This window comes from Homo sapiens, chromosome X (genome assembly GCF_000001405.40).
Source record: "Homo sapiens chromosome X, GRCh38.p14 Primary Assembly".
Lineage (NCBI taxonomy): Eukaryota > Metazoa > Chordata > Mammalia > Primates > Hominidae > Homo > Homo sapiens.
The window spans coordinates 24356795-24369121 of record NC_000023.11 but is presented as its reverse complement, the minus strand read 5'-3'; the positions used below and the strand labels follow the sequence as shown (position 1 = coordinate 24369121).

Here is a 12327-nt window from a genome sequence, read left to right as displayed (position 1 = left end):
CAGAGGAAGATTCCACCTCAAAAAAAAAAGAAAAAAAAGTGCAGTGCCTCTCCTCTCTCCCACTCCCTTAGGTTCCAAGCACTTTAGGGTAGATACGGGTTGTTGAGTTGACTGCTGGGAAAATGAGTGTCCTCCTGGTAGGTCTTTTGCATATGGCTGTACAGAGCCTGGCAAAAGACTGACCTTTTCCACCCTCCTCGCTCCATGGCTGGGGCGACTTGATCCTGCAGGTCCTGGCCCAGATGACCATAGGCCATGAGGATCTCAAGAAGCTCCAGCCCACTACATGCAATCAGCATCATAAATCTCACTCCACCTGTGTGCCCCAAACCCAGGTCATGCCTGATGCTCTGTCCCCATAATCTGCTTTGCTCCTGTCCCTCTAGAACTGCGCTGACCCACACAATAGCCACTAGCCATACATGGCTATTAAGCACTTGAAATGTGACAAGCAAGACTGAGGAACTAATTTTAAATTTCATGTACTTTTAATTAATTTAAATTTTAAAACTTGTACTTGATTCAATTATGGGAAAACTTCCAAGTATGTTTGGAAAGTGAATCTACATTTTCAACTATAAGGTTTACAAAATCTAAATACAGATCAAATATTTGATGAAAATTTGGTATATGAATTGAGAGTCTCTGCAGTCGGAAGCCTCATGTAAAATGCCTCATTGAGAATTTTAAAATATTGATAACATAGGAATGATATTTGGGATATATTTGGTTAAACAGAAATTATTATTAAAATGAATGTCTCGTTTCTTTCTACTTTAAAAAAATGTGACTACTAGAAAATTTAAAATTATATATGGGTCTCATATTATACTTCTATTGGATAGCCCTGTTCTAGGGCTAGAGTCCTCTCTTCACTTGCAATTATTCTCAAGGAATATAATCCTGTTCCCAAATTCCCACCCTGTGACAAAGGCTCAATTCCACCTGACATGTCCTGTTGTGCTGGGCCTACCTGGATTTTCCTGGATGCTCATCTGCAAGCCTACCTTCTCTGCAAACTGTCAGAACATTCTAGGGACAACTGCTTTCACACAACCACTTCACCATCAACGTTCTGCTGTTAAGCCCTGAACATGCAACCTGCAGAGAACTAATTTTGAATTTGTCCTGGGATAGCATCCAGGTTCTCATGATACTAAAATAAATAAAAAGTTTACTCACAAAATGTAGCCAGCTAATGTCTTCAAAAGGTACCCTGTATCAAAGTACCAAGTAGGTGGGGATAATTAGAAGGAAATCAACAAAGTTTGCCAAACAGTCATCTGAAACAAAGCTGAATTTATTTGCCTGCCTGGGAGGAAAGAGCCACATCACTCAAGCACAAGTTTGGCTGGTAGCTCCATGTAGTACTTGAAAGGACCAGATAGACAACAAAGGAAGGAAGTAGACCAAATCTGATGATATTCTGAGTTCAGGTCTCTAGTTGGCACCCAAAGCTAAGGAGAAACTCTTCTTTGCAACCAGTCGTTGCACTGGTTCGCTTCTTAAAAGTGCAGGCACCATTTCCAATTATGCCCAGGATGATCTGATGGACTTGGTGTCACTCAGGAAATTCGATGTGTTTTCTTGAAGTTGGCCAAGTCTTTCTTTAACAGCATCAGTAGCACATTAGTAATAGGTTTTGTCAAGTAAGATTAACCAGTTACCTGCCTCTTCACTGATGTCTTTTGGAACTGCCAGACCAAACTTCTTTTCATTTCGTTAAGGCAAAAGGCAGAGAAACATACATGTATACTTAGAAAAACAAATATTATATAAACATGGTACCCTTCAAAGCTGTAACAGAGCAAAATATAAGAGGCACTAAAACAAATACTTCTACACAAATGTTGACAGCAGCCCTATGCACGACAGCCAAAAGGCAGACAAAAACCAACTGTCTATCATCGGATGAATGTACAAAATCTGCTACATACAAACAATGGAATGTTATTGAACCACAGATAGGAATGAATTAGCAATACATTTTACAACATAGATGAACTTCAAAAACATTATGCCGAGTGAAAGAGGCCAGACACAAAAGATCACATACTGTATGACTACATTTACAGGAGATATTTAGGTAAATCCATAGAAACAGAAAGCAAATTGGTGGTTGCCAGAGGCTGGGAGTGTGAAGATGTCACGCTAGTGCTTAATGGGTACAGAGATTGCTTGGTGGGTGATGAAAATGTTTTGGAAACAGAAGGGGTAGTTGTACAACATCATGAATGTACTAAATGCCACTTTACAATTGTACTTTACAATGGTTGGTTGTTCTGTGATTACCCCTTAGTTGTTAAAAAAGAAAAAAGAAAGGGAAGACAAAGGGGCACAAAAGTTCATGGTTCTTTGAGTCTCACTGGAACAAGGGAAAAAATGAGGGAGCAGAAACAGATGAACAACTGATGATGATGCATCAACAAAGAGAAAAAGACAAAGAAAAAGACGGGGGTTCTACTTAAGAAACAAGGCTACAGATATTTGAAAAGCAAACCAATAAAATGGATTTTCAAATGTTTCACTAAATGTTTCTTGCAAACAACCTACAAAAAATGTAAATGATTTTATAAAGAGAGCACACAAAACATCCAAAAAGAGCCTTTTCAAAGCCAGTGAGAAAGCCTTGCTCTGTGGAGCACTAGGTGCAGACAGGGCCTTTGAAAGGGCAGGGGACTGTCACAAGCAAATCTGCCACTAATTCCATTCCACAGCTTTAGAGGTCTTCCATGTATTCAATCGCAGTGTGACAAGGATCACTGTATTGTACTTTTTCATTTCATTTTTCAAAATGAATGTGTAATAATTCCATTCCATATATTGTACATAAACCTATTAATCTAAATACGATTACACTCTTTCAGAATTCTTCTGAAAGAGGTTTCTCAGAATTCATAAGTCACTTTCATATATATTATGTACAGGGAAACCATTTTTAAAAAGCAATGACCTTTATGTCACATGAGACAGCAGGGATAGATCATGAGGACATTATGCCAAGTGAGATAAGACACTCATCAAATGACAAATGCCATATGATTCCACTTCCATGAAGTGGCCAGGGTAGTCAACTCATAGAGAAAGAAAGTAGAACAATGGCTGCCAGGGACTGGGCAAGGGAGAATGGGGAGCTGCTGTTCAATGGGCATGAGTTTCAGTGTTGCAAGATGGTCTCGAGATCTGCGGCACAACCGTGGGGATGGACTTAATACTATTGCACTGGGCACTTAAAATAGTGAAGGTGGTCCATTTTAGATTATATGTTTTTACCACCATTAAAATAAATTTAATCCCACTCTTCTTGTTAAAATATTAACTTAAAATTAAAATCTTGTTAAAATATTAACTTAATATTGTTGGTATTGCCATTTTACGGCTTTAGAGAAATTATACGTTTCACGAGTTTAGACTCAAACTGGTTGGGATTTGGACACTTTAAAACACTATATTAAAAATAATTATATCGACAGCAGCAATGACAACAAAAAGAGTAACTTAAGCAAAACAACGCTCCTTTAGGAAATCACTTCCGTTTCTAAAGAAAAATCAGTGGATTGTGCTTCTGTGTAAACTGTGTACTTTAAAATGTAAAATACCGAAACATGAAAAAAAAAACAAAACTCAAGTAAAAACTGGGAAATCATTTGAGTCAATGCTCCTGTGCTTTTAAAAGAGAGACAAACTACCACAAGCCTCAGGGCGCTGGAGGGGTTGGCTTGCCTTCCTTCCTCTGATCTACCAACTGGCTCCCTACTTGCACACCTGGATGTGGCTGCACTATCTGAACAGCGCCTGTTGCCAAAAACACTGGCTGCTGCAGGACTCTCAACTGCTGAGTCTGGAGCTGGATATGCTGCGGCTGCTGCAAGACTCTCAACTGCTGAGTCTGGAGCTGGATATGCTGCGGCTGCTGCTGCTGCGACTGTGGCTGCTCCTGCCGTGGCTTTGGCTGCCACTGCGGTTGCAGTTGCAGCTTCGGCGGCTGTGGCTGTGGCTGCTGCTGCCTCAAGACAGAGGGGAGCTGGACACCCTGCTGAGGAACCTGGGCAGAGCCAAGCAGACTCAACACAGCAGGCTGGGGCTGGGGCTGCAGACCACTTCTGGCTCTAGTGGGGTTCACCTTAAGAAGTTGCTGAGCAGGGAAGGCCTGCCCTTGCGTGCTCAAACCTAGTGCGGAACCCTGTGGCCCTGGCTGAGGAGGATGAGCAGCTGTGGGCTGCTGGAGCTGCTGCAGGGAAACCAGCTGATGGGACTGCTGCTGCGGGCCGGTCAGAACCGCCGAGCCCTGCGGAACCTGGAGGAGTGTCAGAGGCCTGAGACCTTCCGGAGTATTTAGGAAAAACTGAAGGGGTGCTGGAGAAGATGCCTGCACTGCACCGGGCCTTGCATCTGGTAGTGGACCTCCTGAGGACTGAAGGTCACTGCCACTGATTCCTGCAGGAGCGGGGGCACCCGAGCCAGGGGCCTGCACAGGCTTGAAACTGCTCCCCAAAGCCTGGGCTCCCTGGACTGGGCCCTCCACATTGATGGCCTTTAGGCCAGTGGAGCCTGTCCTCAACTGAATGGCTGGCGCTATTTTTATGAATTTGGTGGGGGGCTGGGCAGCTGGACAGGGCCTGCTAGCTTGAATGAGAGGCACAGAGGGCTTCTGAGAATGACTTGGTGCCGCAGAAGCAGCAGCAGCAGGAGCAGCAGCTACAGCAGGAGCAGCGGCAGGAGCAGGAGCAGGAGCAGCAGCAGCAGCTAGAGCAGGAGCAGCAGCAGCAGCTAGAGCAGGAGCAGCAGCAGCAGCTAGAGCAGGAGCAGGAGCAGCAGCAGCAGCAGCAGCAGCAGCAGCAGCAGCAGCAGCAGCAGCAGCAGCAATAGCAGCAGCAGCAGAAAATGGACGCTTAAGAGGGCTGCCTGCCTGTTGTGGGGGAAAACTGTTACCTGAGGAAATCTTTCCTGAGCTTGAGGGAAGTTGGGTGCGGGGAGGTGGATGTTTCTCTCCCTTCCCCGATACTGAAGACTGGACCCACACAGGATCAGGCTGTTCTGGTGTTTTCCATGAAGAGAGCTGACTGACACTGGCTGGGCCACTGGAGCTGTGTGACATCTTGCCTGGACCTTTGACTTTGCTCTGCACCGATTCCTGGGCCTGACTCACTGCCCTCCCAGCATCAGTCTCTGACCCAGGCCTGAGACAAGCTGAATGGTCATCTGGGAAGGGCTGCCAGGGAGACTTCTGGCTCTTCTGCCTGGCTTTTTTACGTGGCCGTATTTTACCACAGAGAAGCGGATCATTAAACGACTGCATGATGCTTGGCTTGGTGTCCCAGGCCTGACAGCCAGCTTCCAACGCAAATCCAAAAGGGTCTTCTACCTCCTGGGCTGGCCAGACTGGGAGCTGTGGGTCAGCAGCTGTGACGGACTGATACCCTTTAGCAAGTTTCTCCACATCCACTTCTGAAGGCACGGCCAAATCACAGGGTCTGCCTTTCCACGTGTCTACACAACTTCCTGCTTTAGCAATGTTCAGCTCACAAGGCTGACCTACTTTTCTTTCTTCTTTTTGGCCAGAAGTCGACACTCTCAGCTCAGGAGGAGGTGGACAGTCAGACTGCTCCTGCTGTGGCTTTACAGAGGGCCACGAATACCTCTGGAGGCACCGTTTCATCGGGTCGGTATTCATCTTTTGCTTGTTGTACAGCAGCCTGTTTGCAGTGCAGGCAACTGCTACAGAAGGATCAAGACACAGTGGTTCAGCTGTCGCTAAGATCAGCTGGCTCTCAAGCTGAAGCTTGTCTTCCTGGCTCCATTTCTGGCCATCTCTTGTCATCATCTTCACATCATGGGCTAAAGTCTGCATCGTTGGACGTAGAAGAATATGCCTGCTTTGGTAACCAGGAGGTTGCATATTACTGGACTGCCTGTAGTCACGAACTTCTACTATGACACACCCACTATGAAAAATGTTAACCGAAGCTTTATCCAGGACATCACCCAAAGCAGGGGGTAATTCTTCTGCATCCAAGTAGTCCAGCAATGCCCTTTCTTCATAAGGCAGCCGAATGGTCTCTGCAAAGGACCCATCTTCTCTCTGGAGCATCACAGAATACCCCTGATTGCCTGGGTATAGATTGACCAGTAAACATGGCAAGGACTCTCTCCTAACAAGCTTTTCTAACAAGTTTACATTGCTTCTCAATTCCTGAGGATCCTCAGGCTCTTTTCCACATTCTTCAACATAAATGTCATAAAGTTTTTCCTGCAGAGTTTTTCCCGCCCTAGGTGAGTATCTCCTTCTAGGAGGTCTCTGTTGGGCAATTTCAATGATATTCTCTGCGCGATCCAGAGCCTGTTCTAAATCTCGATCCATTGTAACAGAAAACAGGGCCCCTAAGAGGAGAGAAAACGCATGTGCGTTGGTGAAGCAGGGTGGAATCACGGCTGTCATATTAATCTACAGGCCCGCAAGATGCCACAAGTCCACACTGAGTTCAACGTGGGCATCTGCCCAGAAACCCGCCCCCAGGGAAGCGCTACCCAATCTGTTTGAGGGTTTCTGAAAACATGGGTACCTGAGGGGTCGTCGTCGTGGCCGGACTTCGCGTCTCTGCGGCCTGGAACGGAAGTGAGCGGGAGGGCCGGGGTCAGCTTCTAGGCGCGTCTGGGCACCTGCCCAGAAACCTGCCCCCAGGGAAGCGCTACCCAATCTGTTTGAGGGTTTCTGAAAACATCGGTACCTGAGGGGTCGTCGTCGTGGCCCGGGCTTCACGTCTCTGCATGCTACACCGGAAGCGAACGGGAGGGCCAGGGTCAGCTCCTGGGCCCCGTCTATGCGCATGTGCACTCGCTGCACCGCAGGTTCTGGGGCTCCTGCATCTCTAGCCTCCTGGGCGCAAGGCTCACCCACCGCACTTCCGGGTCTGCTGCCCGCACTTGCACTCGACTACTTGCCATTTCACCTTGAAAGCATACATGCAAAAGCATAAGCCACCAATGACGGTATAGATGTATCTTTCGCACCGTGCATAGACATCAGTTTCCACAGGAATGCCGCTGTCGGGAAATCATGGGAAGTTGTCACTGATCTTGGTGGAAACTTCAACAATTGTTGGCACTTTTGGAATCTCTTGCCATCAGTTGCAAGGCTGCTGTTGGTATCTGTCAGCCACTGGGCTGCGGAATGAGCCCGCGGTAGCAGTGCTTCCATGCCCAGAGACGCCACAGATTTGTGGCAAGCATCAGGATTCTTCCTGTCGTCGTCGAGTGAGCTCCCGCCTGGGGGTGTTCATGTAGATGCATCAGTACCTGACGTTCATTTACATAATTACTCACCTTTATTTCTCCATGTGTTGAGTTAGGGCACTTACAGATTAAAAAATTACGTGGTGGGTCATTACATTGTCTATGGATTGCAGGTCAGGATGGTAGAGAGACATGAAACCATTCATTTCTACAAGGTGATTTGCACCTGATAAGGACGAGAACAATTGTTCCAGGTGATGGCAATAAATTTTCAATGATTAGAGTAAACTGTAGACCTTAGCTAAGATCCTAAAGATGGATTTGCAGCAATATCATTCAGTCTTAGGTAATTTATGGGACATTGTTTTCCATTAACTTTGTTGCCTTGAAATCTCCCAGTTTGTTTGGTTTTGTTTGTTTTATTGGACAAGATCAATAATGTTTTTCTGGGGAGAACTACTCCATAGCCTGTTTTTCTGACTCATGAGTGTGATCTAAATTCTGCCCCTCCCTCCGCTGATATCCCAGGGTGCATCTCACTTATTAGAGAGGTATATCTGCCCACCCTGCCATGGGATGGACTCGATCTTCAGCTGGCGAATTGCCCCTGTCTTCACTTGGGTTTCCCCAAAAGCATTCCCGGAGGAGAGGATTTGAGTGGGAGTAGTTTCTTTGGGTGCTAATCCTTAGAAGCATTGGTGACAGAAAGGGGAGCTGAGTCAGGGATAGGAAAACAGACAATGAGAGACGTATTCCTGAGCACAAGCGGCTCCAGACAACTGGTCCATGCTGGGGACCTTGGAAGACAGTACAGAATAAGCCTCAGATTGTCCCGTCCTAGATGCAAGGAAGCTGGGGTATTTATTCATCCACTTTTCTTTCTCATAGACTGAGGACAGTCCTGGGAGCATTATTCCCTGACACTTCTGGTTGCCACATACAGGGGCCACCCATGCTGATTTGGCTCGAGGATGCCCTCAGACAAAGTCACAGGTGCTTGCGGTAATACTCTGTCTGTGTGTACAGAATGGTGAGTGCCAAGGGGAGATGGACAGGGCACCGGCAGCATTTGCTGCATTTAGGACTGAAGATGAGTGAGAGAAGTCAGCCATTCATTCTTATCGATGTAGATAATGTGCTATGTAATACATCTGGGCATATGGAGAAGTGAAATTATATTCCATCCAAGTGAAATGGGCAATTTAATGTAAGGTTTTTTCAGGTATTAAAGCTAACAAGACCAAAAATGGAGGATGTGACTCACTCTTGACTTCCCAGAGGGAAGACGCCAAGGCTACCTAGGCCACAGGTGCACTGGAAGAGGCTGTGAACCTGTGTGTATGTGTGTGTGTCAGTGTGTGTGTATGTGTGTGTGTCAGTGTGTGTGTATGTGTGTACGTGTGTGTGTGTGTGTGTGTGTGTGTGTGTCAACATGCATTAGTAGGCCTGACACTGCTTATCATGGTTGGCCATCCCCTTCACTTGTGCTGCCTAATTGCCTTGTTTTTACACAATATGATGTTGTTAGAAAAAATTACTCTGTGTCCACACCATCCTTTGAGCCTTCCAAGCATGTTAACGAACACTCTGGTTCATTAAAAGATCTTCAACTACAGCCCTCCCCTGTAGCAGCTCAGCAGAGATTCACATGCTAAGAAATGTCCTGGCCAGACTAACCTTTGCTGGAGGAATAAGAGAATTCAATTAATTGCGAGATAATTTACCTAATTTTCAATTGGTAAATTTCTTTCTTGTTTTGAGACAGGGTCTTGCTCTGTCGCCCAGGCTGGAGTGCAGTGGCGCAATCATGGCTCACTGCAGCCTTGACGTTCCGGCCTCTACCTTCTGGGCTCAATCAATCTGCCTGCCTCAGCCTCCTGAGTAGATGGGACTACAGGCGTGCACCACCATGCCTGGCTAATTTTTGTATTTTTTTTTTAGAGATGGGATTTTGCCAGGTTGCTCAGGCTGGTTTCCAACTCCTGGGCTCAAGCGATCCTCCCACCTCAGCCTCCCAAAGTGCTGGGTTTACAGGTGTGAGCCACTGCACTTGGCCTAATTTCTTTTTTCTGTACCCATTCTGGGTCAAGCATAAACTTAAAAAAAATTAAATATAATACACACAGAGTAAAATTCATCCTTTTCAGTTCTGTGAGTGTTGAAAAATATGTATAGTCATGCAACCACCACCGTAATCAAGTTATAGACTGTTCCATCTTGCAAAACAAAATTCCATCATGCATCTTTGGAGTCAACTTCTTCCCCCACCCAGAATCCCTGGCAACTGGTTATCTTTCTTCTGTGCGTATAGATTTGCCTTACCAGAAGGGCTTATAAATGGAAGTCATATAAATGGAATCATAAAACATATAGCCCTTGTGACTGGCCTCCTTCACATACCTATATTTAAGATTCATCCAAGGCCAGGTACAGTGGCTCACATCTATATTCCCAGCACTTTGGGAGGCTGAGGCATGTGGATCGCTTGAGCCCAAGGGTTCGAGGCAGTCTGGGCAACATAGTGAAACCTCGTCTCTACAAAAAGTCAAAAAATTAGCTGGACATGGTGGTACACTCTTGTGGTCCCAGCTACTCAGGAGATTGAGACGGGAGAATTGGTTGCACTAGGGAGGTCAAAGCTGCAGTGAGCTGTGATTACACCACTACACTCTAGCCTGGGTGACAGAGTAAGACTCTGTCTCAAAAAAAAATTCATCCATGTTGTTGCATGTATTTGTTGTTTGTTGCTTTTCACTGCTGCATAGTATTCCATCATATAGATTAACCAATGTTTGTTTACCTGTTTACCAGTTGAAGGACATTTGGATTCTTTCCAGTTAGGCAATTATGAACAAAGTTGATGGAAATATCCACAAATAAGATTTTCTGTGAACAGAAGTTTTCATTTCACTTGGGTAAATATCCAGGAGGGGAATGTTGGATCACATGGTAAGTATATGTTTAGCTTCATAACAAACTGTGAAACTCTTTTCTAAAGTGGCTGTGCCATTTTGTATTCCCAACAGCAATGTTGAGAATTCCAGTTGTTCCACATCCTTGACAGCATTTGGTATTGTCAGATTTGTTTTTTTGTTTTGTTTTGTTTTGTTTTGAGATGGAGTCTCACTCTGTCACCCAGGTTTGAGTGTAGTGGTGCGATCACAGCTTACTGCAAGCTCTGACTCCCAGGTTCACGCCATTCTCCTGCCTCAGCCTCCCAAGTAGCTGGGACTACAGGTAACCACCACCATGCCCGACTAATTTTTTGTATTTTTAGTAGAGATGGGGTTTCACTGTGTTAGCCAGGATGGTCTCGATCTCCTGACCTCGTGATCTGCCCGCCTCAGCCTCCCAAGATTTCTTTTGTTTTAATCCATTCTAGTAGGTACCTAGTGTGTCTCATTGTGGTTTTGATTATTTCTTTAATAATTAGTGCTGCTGAGTATATTTTCATGAGCTTATTTTCTATCCATATATGTTTGGTGACATGTCCATTAAAATATTTTGCCTATTTTTTTGGATTTTTTTAATCATTGAGGTTTGAGAATTCTTATATGATCTGGACACAAGTCTTTTAGGAGATACGTGTTTTGCAAATACTTTCTCCCAATCTGTAGCTATATTTTCATTTTCTTGACAGTGTCTTTTGAACAGCAGCATCTCTTAATTTTAATGAAATTCAATTTATCACTTTTCTTTTCAGGAGTGTGCTTTTGGTATCAGATCTAAGAAAAATTTACCTAACCCAAGGTCACAAAGATATTCTCCTATGTTTTCTTCTAGAAGTTTTATAGTTTTAAGCTTTACATTTAGGCTTATGGTCCATTTTCAGTTCATTTTTGTATAAGGTGTGAAGTGTAAGTCATGTTTTATTTTTTGCATATGGATATCCAAACATTCCAACATCCTTTGTTGAAAAGGCTATTCTTTCTCCACTGAATTGCCTTTATACCTTTGTTAAAAAAAAAAAAGATTGACCATATATATGAAGTTCTGTTCTATTCCACTGATCTATTTGTCTATTTTTGTGCCAATATCATTGTGTCTTTATTGCTGTAGCTTTACAATAAATTTTGAAATCAAGTAGTGATACTTTCCAACTTTGTTCTTCTTTTGCAAAGTAGTTTTGGCTATCCTAGTCATTTTGCTTTTCCATAAGCTGTACATTTTAGAATCATCTTGTCAATTTCTATAGCTTACAAGGCCCAAATCCTTGTTCCATTAATTATTTGTGTGCCCTTGAGCAAATTATTTAACTCTTTTGTGTGCCTGTTTCTTCACTTACAAATTGGAATGATGATGATGGCTACTCACTTAGTTGTTTTAAAGTTAAGTGACATAGTCCAAATAAATTGTGTCCATAAAACAATGTCTGGCACATTGTAAGAACTCATTAAAGGTTAGCTATGTTCCCCCTCACCACCATCCTTCTAATTGCTTCAGAAACCTTTTATTTCCTGGGGACAGTGGGGAACTAATTAACAGTTTGGAGAGGAAGAGTAACCTTTTTTAGCATGTTAACTGTAGTCATGGTGATGACAGTGGACTGGAGTGGAGTGAGATTGGTGGCAGGAAACAGATTAGGAAGTGATTGCAATACCCCAGTGGCAACTAATGAAGTCAGTGTTTGTGAAGATGTAAAGGAAATACTTCAGTCATGTCTCAGATATTTTGAACAGGGCTTGGTAACTGATTGTAGGAGTTGAAATAAGACAAGAGTTGGTTTTTTTTCCTATTTCTAATTCTTCCCAAGGTGAAGCACTTACTCAGGTGAAGCTTACAGTCCATTAGAACCTCACTCAGCAGACCCTCAAAACATTAGAGGAAAATCACAAGAAAATGAACAGGTCCAAAATGTACTCCCATCCATGAGGCATCATGAAAACAATATTCGGGATCAAGATGCAGAGACAAAGCAAGATTAGCATTGTTACGAACTAAATGTTTACATCCCTCCCAGATTCACATGTTGAAATCCTAACCCCCAATGTGATGGTGTTAGGAGGTGGGGTCTTTGGGGGGCGGATTAGGACATGAGGGCAGAGCCCTTATAAATAGGATCAGTGCCCTAATAATAAAAAAAAAGGCCCTAGA

General features: G+C 44.3%; 1 protein-coding gene across 1 annotated transcript, besides 1 other annotated feature; it reads right to left on the bottom strand.

Annotated features, from left to right (window-relative positions):
* Window positions 1-1282: 1282 nt before the first annotated feature.
* SUPT20HL1 (SUPT20H like 1) lies at window positions 1283-8483 on the bottom strand. The gene has a single exon (NM_001136234.3). It carries the CDS (start codon window positions 6359-6361, stop codon window positions 3698-3700), a length of 2664 nt encoding a protein of 887 aa, NP_001129706.3. The 5' UTR covers window positions 6362-8483; the 3' UTR covers window positions 1283-3697.
* Window positions 3780-4520: an enhancer, noted in NCBI's record as "H3K4me1 hESC enhancer chrX:24382719-24383459 (GRCh37/hg19 assembly coordinates)". NCBI's record gives its function as "activates a minimal SCP1, AML or CMV promoter by ChIP-STARR-seq in naive and primed H9 embryonic stem cells {active_cell/tissue: H9 hESC(naive and primed)}" and the evidence as "EXISTENCE:reporter gene assay evidence [ECO:0000049][PMID:30033119]".
* Window positions 8484-12327: the final 3844 nt, after the last annotated feature.

Excerpts from the sequence above, each read along its gene's own strand:
- SUPT20HL1 (NM_001136234.3), bottom strand. The coding sequence starts at position 6,361 with ATGGATCGAGATTTAGAACAGGCTCTGGATCGCGCAGAGAATATCATT.